Source organism: Homo sapiens, chromosome 10, assembly GCF_000001405.40.
Source record: "Homo sapiens chromosome 10, GRCh38.p14 Primary Assembly".
Classification (NCBI taxonomy): domain Eukaryota; kingdom Metazoa; phylum Chordata; class Mammalia; order Primates; family Hominidae; genus Homo; species Homo sapiens.
The window spans coordinates 19,609,183-19,637,012 of NC_000010.11; the positions used below are offsets into that span (position 1 = coordinate 19,609,183).

General features: G+C 35.4%; 1 protein-coding gene and 1 pseudogene across 9 annotated transcripts in view; one reads left to right on the forward strand and one right to left on the reverse strand.

Moving 5' to 3' along the window:
• The window catches only part of MALRD1 (MAM and LDL receptor class A domain containing 1), a 687,552-nt gene that overhangs the window by 562,256 nt on the left and 97,466 nt on the right, over window positions 1–27,830 (forward strand). For 8 of the 9 annotated variants that reach the window (XM_011519453.3, XM_011519455.3, XM_011519454.2 and 5 more), the window contains one exon: window positions 6,675–6,741. In XM_011519453.3, coding sequence (XP_011517755.1) covers window positions 6,675–6,741 — 67 coding nt within the window. Of the gene's footprint in view, window positions 1–6,674; window positions 6,742–25,053; window positions 26,519–27,830 lie in introns of those variants that run through there. The other variant, XM_017016183.2, reaches the window with a different exon arrangement.
• Window positions 24,501–24,630, reverse strand: RNA5SP303 (RNA, 5S ribosomal pseudogene 303; annotated as a pseudogene).

Consider the following 27,830-nt stretch of genomic DNA (forward strand, 5'->3'; position numbering starts at 1 on the left):
ACACATTTTTGTTGTCTGTCTCTTTTCATCACTCACCAGTCATGTTTACAGTTCACTTAGAAAGTGTAGGTCATGTTGACACAGATATTGGGTTAGAGTAAAATAAAGAACTGGTGAAATACAGTTTTCAGAAATAAAATCCCTATTATATTATGTTTTATCTATTTACATGTTGTATGCTTTTTGGCTTGTCAATCAAATATATTAAAGCCAAGCTTCTGTTTTTAAGATATCTTTAAGCCTGACCCACACTAAAGATTTGTCAATGTACATTACACATTACTCTTTCTTTCCAACATTATATTCTTTTAAGGTCAGCATTTAATAGGCTTTTGTAAACCCAATCCTTACAGCATCCAGTAATTCCCATAGTGGTCTCACCATGGTCACTATCTGGCCTCACCTACCTTGAGGTTTAAGTCATAAACAAGAACATTAATCTCCGGCACTGTATAGATGTTGCAGGCTACATATATTTCAATGAATCCTGTTCATGCCTAACTTATATTATGCAAGTATATTATTTTCAAGTTTTTGTTGCTTTGCAACCAGAAATTATTGGCCAGCATTTGTCTGGCTAAATCTAAACTGAAAGTGTTTTTCTAGTCATTTGCAGTAGTAGAGGTTAATAAAGCTTATGCTAAGGTGAAACTATAATTATGATAATCATTCATTTGAAGGAGAATTAGGAAAGGTCACTAAAAATGTAAAATTGTAGGATGGGACATTATAAATATAATACTATACATAATAAATATTGATAATGGTGGTGATTATGATGATGATGATGATACAGCTTAATAAAGTCTCAGAAGTATTTAAAAAACAAACCAAAACAAACACAAACACTTCTCAGGCAAGTACTATGGAGCTACTTCAAGTTTGTTTATTATTATTATTTTTATTTGTTAATTAACACATCATAATTATACGTATTTATGAGGTACAATTTGACATTTCAGTGCATACAGTTTGTATAATAATCAAATCAGGGTAGTTAGCTTATCCATCACCTCATGCATTAATTATTTCTTTGTGGTACGAACGTTGAAGAGCCTCTCTCCTAGCAGTTTTGTAATATACAATATCTTAATATTCACCCATTACCCTACTGTGCAGTAGAACACCAAAACTTATTCCTTCTATCTAATAGTAACTTTGTACCCATTGGCCAACCTCTGCCTGTCCTTTTTCTCCTCTCTCCAGTCACTGGTAAGCACTGTTCTGTTCTCTGCTTCTATGATATCAACTTTTGAGGTTTGATAGATTTTCCTGCAGTCCCTGTGCCAGGATTTCAAGATAAAGAGAATAATCTCTTCCCTCTGAGACTTGGTTTGTTGCACAAAATCTTCGGGTGGACTCCTAGGTGTATATATCTCTTCAAACTATGTGCAGATAATTGTGTATATGCATACTTATCTGGGACAGTACATAAATGCCACATGATTCAAAGGGGTTTGTATGCCCACAGCATCAAAAACTGCAAGCAGTTGTAGAAATTCTGAGATGAATAGCTAATCATTTGACATTTTTACTCTAACAGGCTTTGGAGTCAGAAGACAAGGGTTTAGTTCTAGTTCAGATGCTTCTTTGCTATTAACTCAAGTAAGTTATATGAAAGGCCTCACTTTCCTCCTCTGCAAAATGAGGATAATTATGGTATATAAGACACAATGTTATGAAGGACTAAGTGAGATAACACATGTAAAACTCTTAGGCCAGTCCCTGACACATAGCAGGCCTTACGTAAATGGTAGTGGTGATGGTGATGGTAATTATAACCACAAAGGAAGAAAAGGAAGAGAAGAAGGAGAAGATGGAGAGAACAAGATCGAGGAAACTAGGTTTCATAGGCAATGCAAATACTCCCCCCAGTATAGAAAGATGATTGAGAACAATTATTTAATACCTTATACACACCATTCACTAGTATAAAAATTCTAACAAATTTAATTTCACCTTCCTAGCAGTCCTATAAGAAAGTGCTATCATACATATTTCTACATGAAGAATCTTATACTTAGAGTACCTAGCTCAAAGTCCCATAAGTCTTAAATGACTGAGCCAGGTATCATCAGGGAACACCAGGACTTAGGTGGTTATCAATCTTCCCAGCAAACTAGTATATAGCACCTGTCACTTCCCTAGTCTCTGCGTACATTAAGGGGGAAAAATGAAGGCTTACTTGCAAATTATTTCTATTTACGTTTAAAAGTTACTATTGTTTTTATATGCATGTTCCTGCTTTTCCAATGAGATGTATCAGAATGGGATTCAATGTGAAATACTCAGAATGATATTTCTGTGTAATCAGTTGTGAATTGTATTGGCCTCCATACACATATTCATAATAACCAACACAAAGGGGTACAAACCAGAGAGACATTGCTGTGGCTAAAGATTGGGAACCTCTGCTAATGGTAATATTATCCCATAGATTCCCAGTTCCCATATTGGGAATTATATCTACTTATCTCCTGGAAATACTCAGCCTCTTCATGGCTAATTAGCCATATCCGTCTCCTTCCCCATTTCATTTGCTCTCTCCTTAAAATTGTTTTGAGTAAATCAAAGCTGAAAATACTTTGTGCCGTGTCTTTCTGTATTATGGATAAAGAACCTGGGTCTAAAGTAGAAACTTATAAAATCTTATCACAGAGATGAACTGTGAGTTTTCTGCCCTGCTAAACAACAGGATTCACCTCTGGTTCCAGTGAACATCTGTGTTCTTTGCACTGTGCTCCACTATAGAGCATAAAAATGCATATTTAGATTCACACAGAATTATTCTGATGTAAAGCAAGCTTATGTTTCATTTTCTGTAGTAAATTTAAATATGAATGACCCACCCAAAAATGGTCAGCACTCCTGTACTGTTTGTTTTCTGATACTCTGCAGTCTCAGACACTCTTCTCATGTTTCAATAAAACAAAATACATATTTGAGGAAGACTGAAATTGTACCTAAGATCAAAAATAACCATAAAACAGCTTATCTAACAAGGTTTATACCAATATGTGCTTTATCATCTTGGTGGCTATTCTTCAGTCAAACCAGCAAATTCCTTATTTGTAAAGGAGAGCTTATGTTTGTTCTGTTCAGAGGAGCATGCCCCCCAGTCCTGAGGTATGGAGCTCCTTACTCTCATCTTTGGCACCTTACTCCCCTGTTTTATGTAATTAGTTAAATAAGGAGGACTAAGGGAGGGCAAGATGGGAAATACATCCCCGGGAAAACAAATTGCTGATTTTTTTGAAACCAAAAATGATGCCAGACTCAAGGTATATTTCAGTTTTGATCCTATACTGCAACTTCCCTCCTTCCTTGCTTTCCTCTTTCTTAATGCCTGCTATCCCTTCTCTAGTGTGCAATGACTGCCTTTATTAGCCCATTCTCACACTGCTATAAAGACATACCTGAGACTGGGTAGTTTATTTAAAAAAAAAATAGGTTTCATTGGCTCATGGTTCTGCAGGTTAGACAGGATTCTGCTTCTAAGCTGGCTTCAGGAAACTTACAATCATGATGGAAGACCAAGCAAGCACATATTCACTTGGCCGGCAGGAGAGAGAGAGAGAACGGGAAGTGCTAAACACTTTCAAAAAACCAGATCTCATGAGAACTCTATTATGAGACAGCACTAGGGGGATGGTGGTGACCTATTAGAAACCACTCCCATGATCCAGTCACCTCCCACTAGGCCCCACCTCTAACACTGGGGATCACAGTTTGACATAAGATTTGGATAGGGACACAGAACCAAACCTTATCACTGCTTAACAGGCTACTCTCTCATGCCACCCTTTCCTTGTATGTTTTACTTCAATACGTATTGCTTACATAAAATTTCTAGTTCTCTATTTTCTCACTATCCTTCATGATTATCATCATTTATCTGTTCTAGTAAATGTTTTCCCTGTCTCTGCTAAGATTGGGCTTATCAAAGACAAGGAGCATATCTATGTACCAGAAGCAATGATGTCAAAATGACTTGAGGAAAAACCCTGAACAGTGGTGCTATCTAAAAGGCAGAGAAAAAAATCTGAAGAAAGACCACAAATCTTTATCTCTACTTCATATTAAATATTTCATCTGAGGTTCAGACCTGCAAATTCCAGTGCCCACAGGTCGGGTCACTTCTACTTCGATGCCCCTTATGCACTTAAAATATAACATTATCTTTTCCTTTAAAAATCTTAATTCTCCATAAATCCCCCTCAGTGAAAGAAACCACCAACTAGCCAATGACCCAGCCAGAAGTGTGGCCATTATCCTCGACTCTTGCAAATAGTCACCAAGATGTTTCAATCCTAATATTTAAATATCTCTTAAAAATTCAACAACTTTCTACCCCCAACCCCACCCTAATCCTTTAGTTCAGGCAACCATTATATTTTTGCTAGTTTATTACCAACAAAAACCTCTTTAACGGGGCTCCCAAATTTTAGTCTTGGTCTTTCTGTTGACTTGACACACTGCAGCCAGAATTCTAACACATGAAACATGACACTTTCCTTTTTAAAATCTTGGCCCTGCTGGGCCGATGTAACCCAGAAGCTGTGTGTCTCTGAATTTTTTCTGCACTATCTTTGTATTATGAGCAATTCAACCAGTCTGGGCTGTCTTCAGTTCCTCAAACATGCAACACCCTCTTCTCTGGCCTCTGGATCTTTATGTTCACCTTTACACACACACTACCACTACTGCCCAAATAAATGGCTGCTGATTCTCTCTGGAAAGCTTTTTCTTACTCCCCAAACGTGACCGAAGTGCTCTTCTTGGTGTTCCCATCACCCTTAGAACATCCATCCCAATAGAGTAATTTCATTCTGCATTTTAATGCCACACTCACATTTTTTTTTCATCTGGAAGGACAGTAGGAGCAGGAACCATGGCTGTATATCTTTTAAAGTCAACATTTATTAAACTCATACTATGAACTGGTTGTTCTTCTAACAGTCTCACAACCCTATGAGATACTTATTGTTTGTTAACCTTGTTTACAGAAAGCAAACAGAGGCACAGAGAGATTAACTACCTTACCCAATACTACTCAGCTAATAAATTGAGCTGAGAAGAGCAACTGGGCTCCTGTGCCCTCAGTGTGAACAACTATACTAAGATGTCTATGTTATCATTATATTTCCAGTGCCCAGCCCAGTGGCAGACATTTTATAGGGACTCAGAATAAATTTGTTCGATTAAAATTAAAGACAGAGGAAATTTTAATCAAGTGTTAGAGTTAAAGTAACCCAACAAGGGAGCAGTGGTATCCTGCAAGAAAGGTGTTGAATTATACCCCATAAATATGTACAATTGCAGTGTGTTAAGTAAAAACAAAAGGCCTAGGAGCAACTTGGGTCTTAACTGAATAGGGGAATTGACAGGCCTTAGTAGGTCAAGATGTCTCATGAGGAAATAAGGAGGCAGTTCATATGAACACAACATCAGGAGCTAACTGTGCTAACCACTCTCACGGTAGTTACTCTATGAAGATATTTAGCTTCTTTTTAACCTATAAGTAAACCACCTTTGAAAATAAATGCTCTTGTTAAACTGGAACTAGAGAGTGACACAAGCAGTGAAATAGGAGGACCAGGGACGAACTTGAGTTATACTGACATTGATCGTGGATGCAGAGGTAGGACATCTGCATGCTCATAAGTGAGTGACTTATCAAAAAAGGCTTTTGCCTGCCATGACATGAGGACTGTTGTGTAGAACTAGAGAAATATTTCAGTAAACAAAGCACTTTATTGTTATCACAAATATGTCATGCAGACACATTCTAAATAAGTAGATGATACCCAATCCAGGGGAGAAGTTCTAGTGTTCTAAAGCACTGTGAGATGACTATAGTTAACAATAATATATCGTACAGTTTCAAATAGTTCCAAGGAGGATATTGAATGTTCTCAACACAAAGAAATGATAAATTTTTGAGATGATGGATATGCTAATTTCCCTGATCTGGTCACTATACACTATCTATATACATATAACTTTGTACTCCATAAATATGAAAAATTATTATATGTCAATTAATAAAAAGAGGTCTGATGCGATGGTTCACACCTGTAATCCTAGCATTTTGGGAGGTCAAGGTGGGAGGATTGCTTGAGGCTAAGAGTTTAAGACCAGACTGGACAACAATGGCAAGATCCCATCTTTACAATAATCTAAAAATTAGGCAAGTGTAGTAGTGTGCCCCTGTGGCCCCAGCTATTCAAGGCTGAGGTGGGAGGATTGCTTGAGCCCAGGAGGTTGAGGCTGCAGTGAGCTGTGTTTATGCCACTCTATTCCAAGCCTGAATGACAGAGCAAGACCCTGCCTCAAAAAAAAAAAAAAAAAAAGAGGAAGAGAGAAAGAAAAAATAGCAAAAAATAAATAAAAATTAAAAAATTAAACAAGTAAATAATTTTTTAAAAAGTCTTCTGTTTTTGCGGATTATTCAAGCATGCGAAGGGCATGAACACATTCAGGGCAGCAGGGGCCAGAGAACAAATTTGAAGAGAGTACAGGAAAGTAGCCTATGGGAATTCTTTTGCTTTTTGCAACTGGAAAGGAATTTACTCTTAGAGATTAGATTTAATGTAATGACAAATAGTGATATCTTCTTCTTCCTCCTAATACTATTTATAATTAACTGGTGTCTTTGTGATGCTTCTTTTTAGAATGTCCATTAAATTACTGCAGAAATGGTGGGACTTGTGTAGTGGAGAAAAATGGTCCTATGTGTCGGTAAGAAGCATTGTTTAATTTTTTTTTTTAAGATTTTTTGGAGTTGGCTTACTTATTTTTCTATAGGCTGATATAATAGAGCATCAATCAGTTTGTGGTTAGTAAGGTAAAAATAGTGGATAATGGTACTATTTACATTTATCTGTCTGAATAAGGTAAAGGAATATGTGAGTGCATTTTAGAGAAATATCTCTTTATTATGATTGTGCATGTTTTTCAACATTTTATATGTGTAATATATAATTTTAATAATACTCACTATTCCTTGCATTTATTATTTCTATCAGGTTTTTAAAAGATATTTTTCTGATATGAATATCTTTCTATTTCAGATAAACTTTGTGTCTGTATTTTCTCTTTTCATTTCAATGTTCTTATTTCTCTTTAACAAAGGATGAAATTAATTTATAAATAAAATCATTTGCTGGTTTATGCAGTGGGTATTTATAAGTAAAGTTAAGGTTTAGATAAGAAATACATTTGCATACTCAAAGCAAGAGTAAACAAAAATAGGCGTTGTGATTTCTTTGGGGAAATATTTATATTGCATATCAAAGATGGCTTGATTTCTTCTCTCACCCTTTGGGGAATTGTGCAAAACAGTTTCAAAAACTCCAAAGGAAATGATGCATATTTCATTATAATTGTGTTTATGCCTTTATAATTTAGCAGACCAATGGATATATCACTTTCCTTATTAGAAAACTCATTGAAGGTTGCTATTCAAGTCATTACAAAACACACAAAGGTATCTGAAAAACAATGATTAATAGTTGTTTGAGTCGTTATTCCTGTCTTAATCAACACACATAGTTTAGAAAAAGTAATTTATTCCTAAAAAAATTCTACCAATTAAAACAATAACAAAAATTTTATGATGGACCATATTTAGACACTGCTTTAGTTTAACATTGTTGAAATGTAATTACTAATGAGTTTCTTGGAACTCTTTTCTCTTTCAATACTTTACATAATTTATTTCTCAACATGTCAACAAAATTATACTTTCCCCATATCAGTTTCCGTGGAAATTAATTTATCAGAAACTATTACTTGATGGAAAGACAGGATACATAATATTAATTTCTAAAATCTCCTGAAAGAAGTTTGAATGATGCCAAAAAGTTTATTAAATATCAGCTGAGTAGATAATATTATTTAATGTCAACTGCTTACAGTAAAGAGGTTGATTTTTGTCCGCTTTAATCCTGACAGTTAAGCCAGAAAACTCCCAGAAAGAGCAAGAAAAGAGCTTTACATTCTTGGCAACACTCTCGTAGTCTTAAATAAACTTGAAAAATTAAAATCCAGATGGTGAAGTCTTAAACTTCTCTCAAATGGGAGAACTCTAAGGTGAGGGAGATGAGACAGAGAATTGAGAGAAGAAAGGAAGTCAATGGAGAAAAATGTAGAAAGGAATTCACTGCTAAGAAAGTCAATCAAATATCCTAAAGTATTATTTTTGATAGCAAATAATACTTTACAAATAGTGAAATAACTATAATGAACATCAATGCAAACAAATGTTGGAATTAGTGCTGTCTAGAATGTAGGTATGAAAAAATAACTTTTGAAACTTTGTCCATATTGTAATAGCTTAGCCATTTCATTCAAGTTTTTCTTTCTTTAAAATTACGTACTAAAAAAGTAATATATGTGGGTTGTCATGAGTCTTTTTAAAATATACAGTAGTATATCAGGCAAAAAGTAGAACTCTTGACACTCAAATCCTACACTGTAGTAGTAAGGTTTGTATCCCTTTAGATATATTTTTCTTTACACAAGCACACATACACACACAATTTTAAATTCCTAGATCCCTTATATATTCTTTTAACATTTATTTTAGGTTCAGGGTTTATTTTAGGTTCAAAATCTCCCATGACAAGTTTACTTATGTAACAAACCTACACATGTAGTTTTATTTATCCAAAATTTATTGAGTTAAATATTTATTAAGTAAGCTCATCATGGGGGATTTTGTACAGATTATTCCATCACCCAGGTACTAAGCCTAGTACTCATTTTTTATTTTGCCTGATCCTCTCTTTTCTTCCACCCTCCATGCTTCAGTAGTCCCCAGTGTCTGTTGTTTCCCTTTGTGCATCCATGTGTTCTCATCATTTAGCTCACACTTATAAGTGAGAACATGTGGTGTTTGGTTTTCTGTTCCTGCGTTAGTTTGCTAAAGATAATGGCCTCTGGCTCCATCCATGTTCCTGCAAAGGACATGAATCTAATTCTTTTTTTTAAGGCTGCATAGTATTCCATGGTATATATGTACCACATTTCCTTTATCCAGTCTACCATCGATGGGTGTTTAGATTGATTCTACGTCATTGCTATTGTGAATAGTGCTGCAGTGAACATACGTATGGAGGTGCCTTTATGACAGTAAAACTTATATTCCTTTGGGTATATACCCAGTAATGGGATTGCTGGGTCCAATGGTAGTTCTGTTTTTAGCTCTTTGAGGAATCACCGCACTGCTTTGACAATGGTTGAAGTAATTTACACTTTCACCAACAGTATATAAGTGTTCCTTTTTCTCCACAACCTTGCTAGCATCTGATATTTTTTGACTTTTCAATAATAGCCATTTTGACTGGTGTGAGATGGTATGTCACTATGGTTTTGACTTCCATTCCTCTAATGATCAGTGATGTTGGGCTTTTTTTCATATGCTTATTGGCAGCATGTGTGTCTTCTTTCAAAAAATGTCTTTTCATGTCTTTTGCTCACTTTTCAATGGGGTTGTTTGTTTTCTTCTTGTAAATTTGAAACCCCTTGTATTAAAAAGGCACTTTAACCTGTAATTTACAATAAAGTGATAATCTTTACTTTTCACCTTTTCGTCTTGGCAGTGTTTACAGTGGATTGCTCTTTCTCATTACCTGATTTCTGGGATATCACTGCCCATGCCTGTCACTCTCCTTCACCCATTCTTTTTCTTTCCTGTTGTCTAAATATTGGGACGTTAGACGATGCTTGCAGTTTCTCTTCTGTTTGTCTACACTCGCTCACTCTCTAATCTTGCCTAGCCTTGGACCTGTGAATAAAATCTGTAGACTTCGAATACAGCTTACCAGCAGACCAGACTCCGCATTCTTAGATTTAACCACTGACACGACGCCAGATCTCATTCAGATTTTATTTGGTTATCTCCTAGCCATCACGAATTTCACGTGTTCTAAAAGACCAGTTTTCTGGACAGCTCATGTTCTTCTATTTCTCCAAGCTTTGGATAAACTGATCCTTCTGTCTAGAACTTTCTGTTTGTTAACCTATTTGCCCAGAGGATGCCTTTTCATCCTTTAGATCCAACATAGGTGATGTTTTTTTCTGGGAAGCCGATTCCAGCCCAGCCAGGGAGGGTCGCTTTTTCCTCCTTCTGGCTCCTCTCCTCTTTTGCTTCCCTTTCCACAATATTTTGTAAGTGTTAGTTTTACAAAACGACCTGTTGAAAATCAGCCCTAGCTATCTAAAAAATGCATTTCCAGTAAAATTCTGTTATTTATGATGATCAGAATTTGTTTTGCCCAACTTTTTACTAGTTTTTATTTTTAAGGATACCTCCAACAATTATGGTCATTGAAAAAACATAAAATATGCTGACTTCTTACAAATTACACATGATATAAATTAATGAAACAGGAATGAAAAATGTTTAAAACTAACACAAAAGAGGAAAGAAAGGAATAAATAATAGCACAACAGATCAGTTGCTTTTCTGAAAGAAACATCTATTGTAAAGTGTAACATTATATACTGACATCATTGCATTGCAAGTTTTTCTAGCTATTAATTCTTATTTATCTTTTGCAAGAATTTATATTTCTGATCTGATAATTTGTTCAAGATATCAAAACTAAATTACTATCTGACAAATGTGACAACTTAAAAATGTCATGGTTAATAAAAAGCATTTCATCGAAATAAAGGCCAGGTTCAGTGGCTCACCCTCACCCTCATAGTCTCAGTACTTTGGGAGACTGAGGCAGGAGGATTGATTGAGCCTGGGAGGTAGAGGCTGCAATGAGTCGTGATCGTGCCAGACTGAGTGACAGAGTAAGTTCCTGTCTCAATAATAATAATAAATAATAATAATAATATATTGTTTATATTTTGTGGCAGAAAAAGATTAATAATATAATCAAAGACCTTAAAGTATGAAATAGATTAGGATAAAATATGTCAAGAAGAGAAATCAAAGTGTTAGTTTAAGGAGGAGAGGTACATTTAAAATTTTTTTTACTTATTTATTAACTTTTATTTTAGGCTCACAGGTACATGTGTAGGTTTGTTGTCTCAGAGGTGTGGTGTACAGATTATTTCATCACCCAGATAATAAGCATAGTACCCAATAGGTAGTAGTTTTATCCTCACCGTCCTCCCACCCTCCACTCTCAAGTAGGCCTCAGTGTTTGTTGTTCCCTTCTTTGTGTCCAAGTATATTTGATGTTTAGCTCCCAATTCAAACGTCTAACCGTTAAAAACTTTTAGGTATTTTGTATTGAAAGATGACGCATATTCAGTCACCATTGTAATTACATTTTCGATGTCTACATTTAAGAGAGTGATGTCAGTTTCATTTACAGTAACCTGGAAATTGTATCTTTTGCAATTGATTAATGTTAACCTGAAAAACATTAATTTTGACTTAAAATTAAAGGGACTATGAAATTTTTCAAAAACTCCTTTGGAGAGTTCATGGGCAAAAATTTTGAAGACCGTGGGCCAAGAAAATAAAGATCATGTCTTCAATACATTTTCATGACCCATCCCTAATGTATAACTGAGATTGCAAGAGTTATTTCAATATGTGCTCACAAAATAAATGATGAGTGAATGTAAAGTCCTGAAATTTCAAAGAAAAGCATCAATACATTGAAATATATTCTTGAAATGTATTGAAATATGAGAAAATGACCTCACCATAACCCAAACTACCATTCAAAAAAGAATTAGTGGGGGATTTTCTATGTGTGCAACAAGAACTATTGAGTAAGCATATGATGTGTTCATCATACTAAAAAGAAATTTCTCTCCAGTTTATAGGATAGAGCAACTACCAAAAAAAAAAAAAGTCATCTATTAAAGTAATTCCATTTTACTACAATGACAGAAGAGGGTGCTCTTAAATTAGAAATCTTGTAAACTATCTCAAATTTCATCAAATGAAGAGACAAATGAAATTTTCATTCATACAAGGCCTTTGTTAAAAATAAAATTCAGTTAGAACACTTCCCCTCCCCACCCAAAAAACAACAAAGAAACATGGTGTAAAAAATAAAATACATCAAGACCTTGAACTCCAATTCCAAGTTAAATTAAATATTATTTATAAAACATATAATTGGGGATATTTGAAAACAAATACATGCAACACTTTAATTTAAAATTTTAAAGTCTAAGTGTAAAAATATGTAAAAAAAAAAAAAAAAAAGTAAGAATCAATTGAACCCAAGGAAATGAATTGGCTGGATTAACTGAATTGGTTGAACCCAGGAAAAAATGAAATTGAAAAAGTAAAGATTAAATTATCATTTTCAAAGGATGATATATTCAAATGTAAATGTATTCAGAAATTTTTAACAAAGGTGCAAAAGTAAGGAAATGGAAATGAGATAAAATAAGGAGAATCAAAGAGAAAGTAGTTCAAGTGGAAGAAAAAGAACATGCATATGATTGGAGTCCCTAAAGAGGAAAATGAAATAGTAGAACAGAACTAACATTTAAACTATAATTCAAGTAAACTTTTTTCAAAAAATGAAAAGAGACCTGAATTTACATACTGAAAAAGTCAGCAAGTACCTGAAATTTTTAACACAAAACCAAAAACTCTAATGTATATCGTGGTAAAAATATTAAACTTTAAGAAACGGAAAAAAATTTTTCATGGCCTCTAGGAAAAGAACCAAATAACACAAGAGGACAAAGAATTTGGTTGGCATTAGACTTCTGAAAACAAAGAAACAAAGAAAACTCGTGATTGTCTCCAGAGTTGTGAAAAAGTCTTTGAAAAAATTTAACATCTATTCTTTATATTTTAAAAAGAGGCACTATGGAAAATGTAAATTGATGGATTTTTTTAAGTATGGTAAAGTCTATATTCCCTATTCCTAAATTTAGCACCTTCCTTAAGAGAAAACCATAAAAAGCACTTCCATTAAAATTAGAAACAAAGCAAGTATAACCACTAGTTTCACTGATATTTCATATTGTACTGGAGGTAGTCACCAATAAGAAAAAAAAATTATTAAGAATCAGAAAAGAAGTTATCATGATGGTATACATGAAAAACCCTAGAGAATTGATAAAAGTTAATTCAAACAATAAAAACAATTTACTAAGTAGGTTTGGAGGATATAAAATTAGTATTCTTAGATTAATAGTCTACATACATAGACAAAACTATTAAAAGGAAAAAATGAAAAAACTCTATTCACATTGACAACAAAAAGAGAAAATATTAGAAATACATTTAATAAAATAAAAGCAAATCTGTATAATAAAAACAATCCAGAAGAACTTAAACAAGTGGAAAAACATTTCCTTTCCTGGATAGTTGACTCAACATCGTAAAGGTGTTACTTCTCCCTAGATAATTCTATAAGTTTAACACAATCTCAACAAAAAGACCTACAAGGTTTTCATAGGGGTAAACAATTAGATATTGCATTCGTATGGAGAAATGAGTGGAACAATAGCTAGTAAAACACTGAAAAAAAAAAAAACAAACTATGAGAATCTGAGTAGCTATGAGAAGCTATGAGAATATGAGTACTACTGAGCTTTGTAGCTCAGTAGTACTGAACCTACCAATATCAATAGAATAAAGCTCTTATTATTAAACTGTATTATACAGGCATCTGAATAGAAAATTTGACATTTCAGACTAGCAGAGTAGAAAGTTAAAAAATGTATCCAAGTACATATGAAAATTTAGTAAATGATAAAAGATGGCATCTCAAATTTCTGGACAAAGATGAACTTTTTAAAAGGGAGTATTGGGGCAACTAGTAAGTATTTGGAAAAGGGTAAAATTAGAACCATACCTCACACTATATATACACAAAGATAATCTTCACTTAAATCAGAGTTCGAAGTGAAACCATACACACTATAGAAATAAGCAGTAAATTTCTCTATATTATGAATGTAGGAAAAAGCTTTTTTTCAATGACTCAAATGCAATTGCATTTGAAGACAGATAAAGTTAATTACATAAAAATTTATTTTTAACAACGTTTTTTAATGACAAAAAATACCACCAAAAGCAATATCAAAAGATAAATGGCAATCTGAGAGAAAATACTTATGTTGCATGTATCAGAAAAAGTACAAATATCCCTAATACACAAAGAACTATTTTAATATACAGGGAAAGCCCGAATGTCACAGAGAAGAAAGAGATAAAAAATTCATTTTAAAATATAGAGAATGATGCTGCTATTTATCAGTGTTCTCCAGAGAACCAGAACCAATAGGATATGTATAGATATATAAGCAAAGATTTATGATGAGAATTGGTTCCTGTAGTTATGGAGGCTGGGAAATCCCACAACATGCCATCTGCAAATTGAAGAACCAGGAAATACAGTGATGTAATTCAATCCCAGTTTGAAGAACTAAGAACCAGAGAAGCCAGTGCTTTAACTCCCAGTCCAAGGCTGTAGGCCTGAGAACTGGGGATGGCTGGTGTACATCCAAACTCCCAAGACTGACAACCAAGACCTCTGATGTCTAACAGCAGCAAGATGGTTGTCCCATCTCAAGAAGGAACCACTTCCCTCTCCCTTCACCTTTTTATTCTATTTGGGCTCTCAGTAGGTTGCATGAAGCCTCCCCTCATTAGTGAAGGTGAATCTTTTTTACCCAGTCTACTGATTAAAATGCTAATCTCTTCTGGAAACATCCTCACAGACACTCAGAAATAATATTTTACCAGCTATCTGGGCATCCCTTAGCTCAGTTAAAACATAAAATTAACCATCACAATGCATAAATATATGAAAAAAAGATTCATTTATTTAAAAAAGCAAATTAAAACAATGTTAAGATGTCATTTCTCACCTCTTGAATAAGCAACATATTCTGATAGGAAAGATATGAAGAAACACACACTTTGCTAATTGCTAATGCGAATTGGTGTAATTCTCATGGAGGTGAATTTGGTAATCTCTCACAAAACTACATATTCATTCACTTTGGGACCTAACAATTCCATTTATAGAATTTATTCTGTAGGCACCGTTCTAACACTGTGAAAATACATGTCCATAAGGCTACTCACTCTGTTGCTTTTATAATTTCAAAATATTGGAAACATCCTAAATGCCCATGGATGAATAATCTGTTATATGATACAACCATACAATGGAATGCAAAGGAACATAGAACAGTTAAGAAGCATTCCTTGGGCCAGGTATAGAAAAGTTATTTTCTGGGGAAAGCTAAAGTAAAATGAAAAAATATATAGTTATCACTGAAACTGTTCTGTAGCTTTCTTTCATTTGACTCAAATTTTAAAATAACCTAAAAAGTGTGTTATTGTTGATAATTACATGTCATGTGTTTGACATGCCTATGGTCATGACATAAACCTGTGGAGCAGATAATAGTATGTGTAATTTAGCAGTTAAGATGAGGAGCATTTAGGCCAGGCATGGTGGCTCACACCTATAATCCCAGCACTTTGGGAGGTCAGGGCAGGTGGATCACTTGAGATCAGGAGTTCAAGACCAGCCTGGCCAACATAGTGAAACCCCATCTCTACTAAAAATACAAAAATTAGCCGGGGGTGATGGCACATGCCTGTAATTTTAGCTGCCCTGGAGGCTAAGGCAGGAGAATCACCTGAACCTGGGAGGTGGAGGTTGAAGTGAGCTGAGATCGCACCACTGCACTCCACACTCCAGCCTGGGTGACAGAGGGAGACTATCTCAAAAAAGGAAAAAAAAAAAAAAAAAAAAAGATCGGGAACATTTAGATGAGGCTGAGCACAGTGGCTCACACCTGTAATCCTAGCACTTCAGAGGCAGAAGTGGGAGGATTGCTTGAGCCCAGGCTGTAGTGAGCTATGATCGCAATACTGCACTTTAGCTTGTGTGACTGAACGAGAGCCTATTTTAAAAAGAGAGAGAGAGAGAGAGACATGAGACATGGTGAAATTAAGTACTTTTCCCAGAGACAAAAAATAAAACAGAGCTAGAGTCCAGATTCAAACCTAGTTCTTTGGCCACGATCTATGCTCAACCCTTGTGGATGTTGCCTCTTTGAAGATCTGACTAGACGGCTTATGATTCTAGAGTTCCATGATACTATGAGGACAAATTTGAATAAAATGCCTTAAAGGAAATCTAAAACTTAACTTTATTTGCATTTGGCTGTTTCCTTTTTTTTAACACACTGTGCAGTTTTGTTCCTATGAAAATTCATATGGTTGCTTTTGCCTATTTTACGCTTCCCCACCTTGACTAACTGAAAAACTCCAGATTTATCCTTTACTTCCCAGTTAATGTAGAATATCCTCTCTAGAACATTCCCTGAACCCATAAGCATACAGATCATATCCTGTGTGCAGTGCAGTGTACGAAAAAGGAAAGAGATATGATTCTAAAAACAGGCAGACCCGGGTTTGGATATGAGCTCCACTGCTAACTAACTCCATGACTTAAAAAAATGACCTAAGCTCTCTCTAAGGCCGAAGATGAAAATGTACATTTGTTTAAAACTCACCTTCTCTGCCATGATGAAGCTGTGAATTAAAAGGGGGTACTGCACTTGCTGAAATATATCATTAATAGTTGTTTTCTTTACTGAAGAATGTTTTTTAAAAATTGTGTATCTAAGTGGGAGCCACTAGTAATCTGTTTGCCAATTGCATATTTAACATCAGCTAAATCATCTCCGTAGCAACCAACAATCATTCTTTACTAGGTGGAATACAGAACAAATTATCAAAATTTAAGACCATGGCCTCTGCTGTTATTTTTTTCAAATATAACATAGTACTCAAGTGCTAAGGACTAACAAAAATCCTCATAATAACACTGGACTGTTTTGCAAAGAAAAATCATTCCAAAGTTTCAAAAAGTCAATTTAAAGTGGAGAATATTTAGATATCTTTTAGGTAATAAGCTTAAGAGACCATGCAGGGTGGTGCATTATTTTCAAATCTAACTTATGGAAAAGACAATTTTGTAGAGAAACATAAATTACTAAAATTGGCCCAAGAATAGGCATAAAAGTTGAATACGTTGGTGGACATAGGAGAAATCTAAAAGTCAAAACTGTAGTCTCTCCCTTCAAAAAATTTCAATATTTTTTCTGTCAAAAAACTGAAGGCATTTTCCCTTAAAATCAAGATTTTTTTTTTTTTTTTTTTTAAGTCAGGGAGGTCTGCCAGGCCTTGGATTATTCTATTTGCTCACGGGGTTTTAGCCAAAGGTACAAGCCAAAATAAGTAGAAGCTAAACATATTGAAAAAGAAGAAACAAATATTTTTGCAGATATTGACAGCCTAGGAAATCCACACAAATGTACTGCAATACTATTAGATTGAAAACAGGGTTCAGCGAGATAGATGGACATAAGATAAATATAAAAGACTAGATGAATTTCCTTTTCACCAGTAGTAACAATAATTAAACTAGATAATTGGAAAAGGGCTCCATTCTGAAACAGCAGCAATTATTATAATATATAGAGGCCTATACTGAATAGTACATGCACATCACCCACATAAAGAGTGCTGAAAAGCACAAATGAAGGACCCTCACAGAAGACCTAAATAAATGGATAGAAAAAAAAAAAATGAACAAACCACTTTCTAGAGTTAGTGATTTTCAATATTGCACAAATGACCATTAGCCAATTAATTACATTGGCTAATTAAATCTAGTTAATAATTTAGATTTTTGTTTGATTTTGAAATAGGCAGTTGGATTTTAATGTTCAGTTGGAAAAATAAATAAAACTTAAAGCCAAAATTATGAAATGGTATTTACAATACTTGACAATACAGCTTGCTATAAAGTCATTGTAATAAATATTATGAAGCTGGAACAGGAATAGACAAATAGACACTTGGAAAAGAATAAAAAGTCTACAAATAGCTTAACGTGGTTACCTAAAATTAGTATAAAATAGGTGGTTTTCAAGTTAATGAGAATGGATGAGTTGGAATATGTAATAATTGATATTAAGATAATTGGTTAGCCATTAATTTAAAATGTAAATTATTATTGACATAACACACAGGAATTAACTTCAGAATTATTAAAAATATATATAGGGGAAAAGCATAAAATTTCTTTGGGAAAATAGCATACAAGAATAGTTTAAAATCTTGAAGTATGAGGGTCTTTTCTAAGCTTAGTAAGCAGCTGTAAAATAAAAGATAAACAGATTCGAAAACTTGATCACATGGATGATGCTTAAAAGTATTCAGTGTGGTAAAAGACACCATAAACAAAATTAAGAAAAAAACAACAAACAAACAAAAAAGCAACAAAAAAACAATAACAGGGCCACGTGCGGTGGCTCACACCTGTAATCCCAGCACTTTGGGAGGCCAGGTAGAGTGGATTACCTGAGGTCAGGTGCAAGACTAGCCTGGCCAACATGATGAAACCCCATCTCTTCTAAAAATATAAAAATACAATTACAAAAAAATACAAAAAATTAACCAGGCGTGGTGGCAGGTTCCTGTAATCCCAGCTACACGGGAAGCTGGAGTAGGAGAATCACTTGAACACGGTGGGCAGAGGTTTCGCAGTGAGCCGATATTCCACCACTGCACTCCAGCCTGGGCGACAGAGCAAGACTGTCTAAAAAAAAAAAAAAAAAAAGGAAAAAAGGAAGAAAAAACAATAATAGGCCAGGCCAGGAGGAAAATATACAGGATACACAACAGCTAGGGATTAGTCATAATATATACTCAAACAATAAAAATTATGTAACAGATAAACTAGACACACATTATTTACAGAAAAAGGAAAATAAATGGTCAACACACATCTGAAAAAAATTCAAAACAAAATTATGTAACAGATAAACTAGACAAACATTATTTACAGAAAAAGGAAAATAAATGGTCAACACACATTGCACTAATGCATAAATGCACTAATGAATAAATAAGTGCAAAGTAAGTCGTTGATATCCTGTTTTTACCTATTAAAGTGACAAAACATTTTTTGGTAATATCCATTATTTATGAGACTATAGAAACACTGTCCCTTTTATATATAGCTTGTGGGACTATAGCTTTTCTAAATATACAACATGGAGAAAAATACAACTTTTGGAAAAATAAAGTGGCAATATTCATTCAATGTTTTAATATACACGTTCCTTAATTCAACAATCCCAATCCTAGGAATGTAGCCTACTAACATATTAACAAGAAATATAAACACAAACATATTGGCCTCAGCATTTTGCAATAGCACCATATTGAAAACACAGTTAAATGTTCCAAATAGTGTCATGGAATAGTATGTAACACTTTTTTAAAATAGAAGATATAAATCCTGACATAGAAAAGTATCCATATTGTTAGGTGAAAATGCAAATGCCAGAATAATATGTATATTAAGATCCTATTTGGAGAGGGAGAAAATGTGTAACTGTGTATGAAAAAGAAAAAAAGGAAACTGGTGAGTTACACATCAAACTGTTAAGAATAGTTAGTGAGCTCTGTAGAAGATTGGCTTGGGGGAAAGAGAGATTTCATACTTGAATTTTTGCATTTTTATTTTACCAGGTACTGCTTTTTATAACTTAAAAAAGCATTAAAAAGATTTTTGAAAACATATGTTGCTAATTTTTCAGGTAAGAAACAAAGGAAAAAAGAGTTTTTATATTTTTAAAAATACTAACATATGTTACAGTAAAAGGCAGAGTCAGTTGGCTGCTTCTAACAAAGTGTCCTGCGGATGAATGTGCCCGTCCCTCAGTTTTTCTTTCCGTGTTGTCAGAAAGCATTACACACTTTCTGCCTCCTGCAGAGCCAAGTAAGCAAGACAGACCAGGAATGTGATTGAAGGTGAAGCAACAAACTGCTCTCGCCCAGCTCACCAAGCCTTCTTCCCTGCCTAATTTGCAGAGCTGGATTGTACTCCAATCACATATGCTAACAGAGTCACAAAAATGAAAAGCACAGTGATACCTAATTTCCCCTGTCTGCACCCCTTCCCAAAAAGCAAGCCTCGTGATATGTTTGTACACTTAGCTATTAAATGGTTTTTAGGCTCCTGATGATAGCTGTAAGCATTCACAGTTGGTGCCTTCCAAATGAATGACCTGTTGACTCATCCAGGGAGGGCATCCTCTAAGGAAAGGCATGGCCCAGATTCTGTTCGCTGGTCATTGCTGACAGGGATTTGTGATCCAGATATTTTCCAAGATCTCTGGTATGACCTGACTGTTAAGTAGATATTTCTGTCCTCCGAGAGGAGTGGTGGGTTATTTGTGAGGCAGTATCTAATGCCAGAGGACTTGCTTTAAAAGAGAGAACAAGAAATAGCTGTCTAGAGTGTAAGAATCAGGAGATTCAAAAAGCTCACTCCATCACCCATCCTAAAGTAGCTGCATAGGAAAATGTTTCTACACAGTTTTCACTTTATCAGTTTTCCTAGTATGTGCACGGCCAAGCTTCATGGGGTAGCCGTTGGTTGAAAATGACACCTCTTCTTTCTTTGCTGTGTGTGATGTGTGTGCATGTGGCCAACGCACTCTACTGAATGGAAGCAAGAGACACAGCTCAGTGGTGGCGCTCGAGAGACTGGAGCTTCTAAGAATGCTGACAAAAAAGTTATTCCTCAGACTGAATTTCACAATTTCCCCAATCAGGCCTCCCCAGTGGCCCTGGAACGGCTGGCCATCCAGCTCTGCTCTGATCCTACACAGCTTTTCTTCCTGCTCAGCCAGCATGAGTTTAACTATGTCAGAGTAGAAGCTTTTGTGCTGTTGCTAGGTGGCTGATCTCTGCCTTACAGAAGCAGAATCTAGCAAATGAGGTAGAACTTTTTGAACTTATCCCTCTTAGTAGAGAAATGTTGACAGATCTAAGTAGTTCAATGCATTTTAATTTTGAAACCCCCTTGGGACTTTTCTTATCCTCTGAAAGAACTAGTTTATGTTTGCTGTTGCCCTAATCTGCTGTCTGTAATTCTGCCATGTAGGAAATCCCTTTGTATTTTTCAGAAAAAGACTTATTTTCCTTATGTCCATCAGGGAAAAGAAGGAGATAATGAAACTGGTTTATGTTCCTAAGTTTAAGGTTAAATTATGACTATTCATGATCAGTGGTTAGAGTTTTTATATATGGTTATATAAACATACACGTTGGTATTGAATTCAAAAATACATCTCTTTCAAATTTATTGTTTGGGCATCCAGAATGAAAACATATAATATCACTTCATAGTAAGTCTTTTCGTTTTAGTGCTACCACCATCTAACAATTTTGAGGACTAAGGTAGCATGCTTTCTAAATATATAGGGGGAATTCTAAGTTTGGAATAAGAACATTTTCTAAGAATTACATTTTTCATTCTGTAGATAAAAACCAAAAAGCAATATTTTCCTGTTAGAGTGTTAGAATGAGAGTGTGTTTAGTTTGAATAAAGACTTTAGTAATGAGAATAAGGCTTTGCATATATTATTCTTTTCCATTTGTTGAAATTAAAAATGATATTATAAGAATTTTCTCCATAGCAATGTAAGTTATGATGTATTGTCTTTTGCTATTGTTTATGGATTTTATGGTGTCAAGAGAACACAAATTATGTACATAAAAAGAATAAGTGAAAGGTATTTTATAGATATAAATATGTATTTATAAGCATATATTTAACTAGGATAAATTGCCCTAGCAAACAAATATATATTTATATTGACAAGTATTTGCCTATATTTTTTGGTTTGTTTTTATGGCAAAACATCATAATATATAAAACTAAATTAGTCATTCATTGGCTATAAAGTATATGAAACATTGTGATGTACAAGGGAAGGAAGACTGGCCTTGGAATTAAAAGACCTGTCTTGACTGCCCTTTGAAAAACTTTTATTTTAGATTCAGAGGTACATGTGGAGGTTTGTAATATAGGCAAACTCATGTCATGGAGGTTTGTTGGACAGATTATTCATCACCCAGTACTAAGTCTAATAACCAATAGTTATTTTTTTCTGATCCTTTTCCTCCTCCCAACCTGCACCTTCAAGTAGGCCCCAGTGTCTGTTGTTCCCCTCTATGTGTCCATGTGTTCTCATCATTTAGCTCCCACTTATAAGTGAGAACAGGTGGAATGTAGTTTTTTGTTCCTGCATTAGTTTACTAAGGATGATGGCCTCCAGCTCCATCCATGTTCTTGTAAAGGACATAATCTCTTTGTTTTTTATGGCTGCATAGTATTTCATGATGTATATGTATCATATTTCTTTTGTCCAGTCTGCCATTGATTGGCATGTAAGTTGATCCCATATCTTTGATATTGTGAATAGTGCTATAATGAACATACGCATGCATGTGTCTTTATGGTAGGACAATTTATATTCCTTTGGGTACATATCCAGTAATGGGATTGCTGGATCCAATGGTAGCTCTGTTTTAGTTCTTTGAGGAATCATCACACTGCTTTCCACAATGGTTGAACTAATTTACACTCTCATCAACAGTGTATAAGGTTCATTTTTCTCCATAACCTCACCAGCATCTGTTATTTTTTGACTTTTTAATAATAGCCATTCTGATTGGTGTGAGATGCTATGTCATTGTGGTTTTGATTTACATTTCTCTAATGATCAGTGATTGAGCTTTTCTTCATATGCATGTTGCCTGCATGTATGTCTTCTTTTGAAAAGTGTGTTCATGTCATTTGCCCACTTCTTAGTGGGGTTGCTTTTTCTTGTAAATTTGTTCAAGTTCCTTATAGATGCTGGATATTAGACCTTTGTCAGATGCCTAGTTTGCAAAGATTTTCTCCCATTCTGTAGGATGTTTGTTTACTCTGTTGATAGTTTCTTCTGCTGCTGCACTTAATAATTGTATAGCAGTATCAGTCAGGAACCTGGTAGAAAGAGAATTCAAGCCAGATGGCCCAAATAACAAAATTTTCATGAAGTGGCCTCTTAGTTTAATGAAGGTATGAGCAAGGTTGAAAGAACAACACATTGAGGCTCCAGAAAACTAGCAGCAGTAGAAAGCCTAAATCTAAAGAGACAAGGAGTAGACCTTGGTTAACTAGCTTCTAATGAGAACTGGCACTGTGGTAGAGCTTCAAAGAAAAATCTGTAGTTGGAGGACAACCTGGTTACTGCCATCGTGAAGAAGTTGGAGCAAGCAGGCAAAATGTATTCCACATCCTCTGTCCTTCCACCTTCCAATCTCCAGTTGCTATCTTCCGTAGGCCAAGAACAGCAGGAAGCCAGCCAACCAGGCAACATGGATAGGAAAGCAGTCCATAGATTCCTTTCTCCCAGAGCTCTGAATAGGGCATAGAAGAGGCTCTGAGCCAGCATAGTGATGCTGGTGAATCTTTTCATCTCTATCTTAGTATATGTAAAAGTTATAAAGATCATTCAGTTTCTAGAAATAAAAATCTGGCTTAAAAACCTAAGGAATAATGATTTTTTTGATAACAAAAATTCTAGTGGTAAATGATTACCAACATTGTTTCACTTATTCAAGGATGTCAGAAACAAATCTATGTTTCTCCCAACCTTACATGCTGGGCCCAGAGCTCCACCCTAACCCCTTTCCAGACAAACCCCAAAAAAGACAGGGCAGAAAAACAAAAAGAGCTCAACCAGAGGACTCACCCAACAATTTTTACATATGTCTCATTTTCCTAAGAAATATGCTGAAAAAATGTTAAGTGAATGTTTAGATTAAGGTAGAATGACCAATAAATAAGAGATTATCCAGATTATGAGTGTGATTTTTTAGAACTTTTGTGCTCCATTGAGGCTATGAAAAGTGTTGAGAGAGAAATGTGAAGAGAGTGGACTTCTGGGCCAGGCACGGTGGCTCATGCCTGAAATCCCAACACTTTGGGAGGCTGAGGCAGGTGGATCACTTGAGGTCAGGAGTTCAAGATCAGCCTGGCCAATATGGTGAAACCCTGTCTCTACTAAAGATACAAAAATTAGCTGAGTGTGGTGGTGTGCACCTGTAATCACAGCTATTCTGGAGGTTGAGGCTGGAGATCACTTGAATCTGGGAGGTGGAGGTTACAGTGAGCCAAGATCGTGACACTGCACTGCAGCCTTGGCAACAGAGCAAGATTCTGTCTCAAAGAAAAAAAAAGAGAGACAGAGAGAGAGAGACGACTTTTCAAGATTTCTTGGCCATGTTGTGAGTTTCACGCCCCCTCATTGGAGAAGCACGGTGTAATTAACTTCGAGGGGACTTCCCAGAGAGCATTGATATGTTTCTTACAGTAGTAAAAGCTCGTAGGAACGTTTGTCAAGCACATAAGATATCTAAAGACATTTGCTGTGGCTGTTGGCCCATCATGTCAAAGCAGAGTGAGAGTAGCTGGAACATTGGAAACTCCACTTCTCCCCTTAGAAGTGGGTCAAAAATATACAAATCCTACAGACAGAATATCCTACCCATATTAGTAATGCCAGCCTGGTGGCTTCAAAAAGATTTCCCCAAATAGTTTTGTCAGAAGTTGAGGAGACCCCAAAGTAAAGAAACTCCAAAAAGCCTTGTGAAAAAACACTTACAGATTTTTTTTTTAAGCCTACAGCACACGGTATTCCCAGGAAGCTTCCCATTCAGGTAGTAACCAGGCCCAACCCTGGCTTAGCTTTGACAAGACCAGATGAGATCAGACATTCAAACACATTCAGGATAGTATGATTATAAGCCACAGTTTCTTTCTTTTTCTTTTCTTTCTTTTTTTTTTTTTTTTTTGACAGAGTCTCACTCTGTCACCCAGGCTGTAGTGCAGTGGGAAGATTTTAGCTCACTGCAACCTCCACCTCTGGGGTTCAAGCAATTCTCCTGCCTTAGCCTCCCAAGTAGCTGGGACTACAGGGGGATGCCACCAGGCCCAGCTAGTTTTGTTGTATTTTTAGTAGAAATGGTGTTTTGCCATGTTGGCTAGGCTGGTCTTGAACTCCTGACCTCAAGTGATCCTCCCACTTCGGCCTTCCAAAGTGCTGGGATTACAGACATGAGCCACCCCACCCGGCTACACAGTTTCTTCTTAAAATACCTGCCAGGCCCAGAGAACCGGAAGCACACTGAAATCAAAAAGTTATTCCTCTCATTTCCTGCTGCTTTCCCAGACTCCAATGCCAGATGAGCAGAAGACACTGGGACTGGAGTAGCTGAAGAAGAACGAAAATGTCAGCTCACCTACTTAGTCGATGATCAACCTTCTGGAGGGGAAGAAATGCTGCTAAATTTGAGGCTTTTGTTGTTACGCAAGACTGAGCATTTAAATCACCAAAATTAGGCCCATTTTTGTGACTTAGAGTGCCCATCACATTATTGGTTTACCCAAGAGTGATCAAGGAAGTCATGAGATCTAGTAGAAATGTTATTCAAGTGTAGCAGGTTTAAAGATCATGGAAGACAAAATGGATTTCTATTTTAAATTGTATTCGAAAAGTCATGCTTGCGGAATATGGAGACTTAGATCTTCAGCTCGGCATTGTTCTGGATTCTGTTGGTAAGAAAGGAAAAAATACACATGGGCTAAGCTCACAGCACTCTTTTCCGTAATACTCATCTGGAAAGCAAGCAGAGTGAACTAGACCAGGGACCTCAACGTGGTTGCACAGCTAAAAAATAATCATAGGCTGTAAGAAGTCAGAACGCTATAAAAACTTAGCAAGAAGAGTTAGATGCCACAGACCTATTTGAAAAACAACAACAACAACAACAAAGCTAAATTGGCTGGACATCTCACTCCACTAAGAGAATCAACAAAAAGTGCTTCCAGGTTGGTGAAATAGAGGTTCACCAGATGAAACTGGATGTGCAAGCAACATCCTGTACCCCTGAAATTAGAATGAAGAAATGGTAAAATTTTGCCTTGATCTGTAGCTTTTCCAGAACTGAATATTTGTCATGGCAAGGATCACAGACTGCCTTGCAACTAGTACTTGGATCAAACCTTTTATAGGAATAATCCCTAAGGTGATGGCAGCACAGGGACCTTGAAACAGCAAAAGACTTAACTGGAGAATGGAAGAAAACCTAAGGAAAGTAACCCTAAAATCACTTCATAGAAAAACATCATAAGGGAGAAAACTTCAATTCAAGAGAAGCCCAAAAATAAAACTCCAAGATAGTAAACTCTCATGGTAACAGAGACAGAAAGTGAAATCAGCAATTGGAAAATATGCTCCTGATAAAATAAAAATAATAAGTCAACTGAAAATGTGTTTATGTAAGTGTGTTTATGATCCTCAAAAACTTGAAGAAATATAGTTCATAAGAAACAAAAAGAGTTAAAAAGTTCAAAAGCAGCTGATTAAAGAAAAATTAGGCATAAAAACTAGTCCCTGGAAATTTAAAATCAAATCCAATTCTAAGTTAAATACAGTAGAAGACAGAAGTAATAAAGTGAAGGATATTATTAAGGAATTCACTCAGAATGCAACACGGAAAGAAAAAAAGATTAAAAAATACAGAAGAACAGTGATGATATATGTGATATATGGATGAATAGATGGAAAAGCTACAATGTATGGCTGCTAGGATTTCTAGAAGTCTTAGCTAAAATATTTTTTAAACATAGTGAAAGAATAAAATATCTGAGAATATTTCATATTTGCATAAATTTGCATAAAATAACCTCAAAATTAACACACAAAATGCTCTCACACACATGCATGCAAAACATACACTGAAATAAACTAAAAATGCACACCTTGTCATATTGTAAAATTGCAGGAAAACAAGGAAAATAAAATATTTAATTTTTTATTGTAGTTATTTATTTATTGTTAATTTTTTTTTTTGAAACGCAGCGTCACTCTGTCACCCAGGCTGGAGTGCAATGGCACAATCTTGGCTCACTGCAACCTCCTCTTCCTGGGTTCAAGCAATTCTCCTGCCTCAGCCTTCCCAGTAGCTGGGATTACAGACACGCACCACCACGCCTGGCTAATTTTTTGGAAAATAAAATATTTTAAAAGCCTTCACAGAAGTAATACAAATTACCTATATAGTTTTAACAACTACATTGACCATGGAATTCTCTCAGGACAATAGGTATCAGAAGACAACAGAAAGAAAATACTAAGGCAAATTGTCAAACTAGAATTTCATACCCAAGTAAACTAGTTCTATTAAGACAGGAGGGTGAAATAAAGACATTGTCAGCCAAACAGAGTTAGGAACATTTACTACCCATTGACTTTCCAATAAAGCAAATAATTCCTTGGTAAGTATTTAAGCAAAAAGAGAAGTTTATCCCCAAAGAGAACATGAAGATAAACAAAACAATTGGGATATAATGTTGGTATCAACAATGCTTAGGGACAGAACAAAAGAAGTATAGACCAATCTTTCTTATGAATAAAAGTGGATTAAAAAAAATTCCTCATGAACTTAAATACACAAAACACAGCCTCAAAATAAATATGTATAGTAAAAATTGACCAAATTACAAGAAAAATACATTTCTAGGGTTGAAATGTATTTCAACCAGTACAGTGGCCCAGTACAGTGGCTCACGTCTGTAATCCCAGCACTTTGGAAGGCCGTGGCGAGTGGATCACCTGAGGTCAGGAGTTCAAGACCAGCCAAAGCAACATGGTGAAACCCCGTCTCTACTAAAAATACAAAACTTAGCCAGGCGCGGTGGCATGTGCCTGTAATCCCAGCTACTCAGGAGGCTGAGGCAGGAGAATCACTTGAGCCTGGGAGGCAGAAGTTGCAGTGAGCCAAGACTGTGCCATTGCACTCCAGCCTGGGTGACAGAGTGAGACTCTGTCTCAAAAAAAAAAAAAAACGCAGAGTAGATTTTTTTAAAAAATATGACATTACTATATTATTTTGTCAATAAATTTTAAAACTATACAAAATTGGTAATTATCTGGAAATTTTAAAT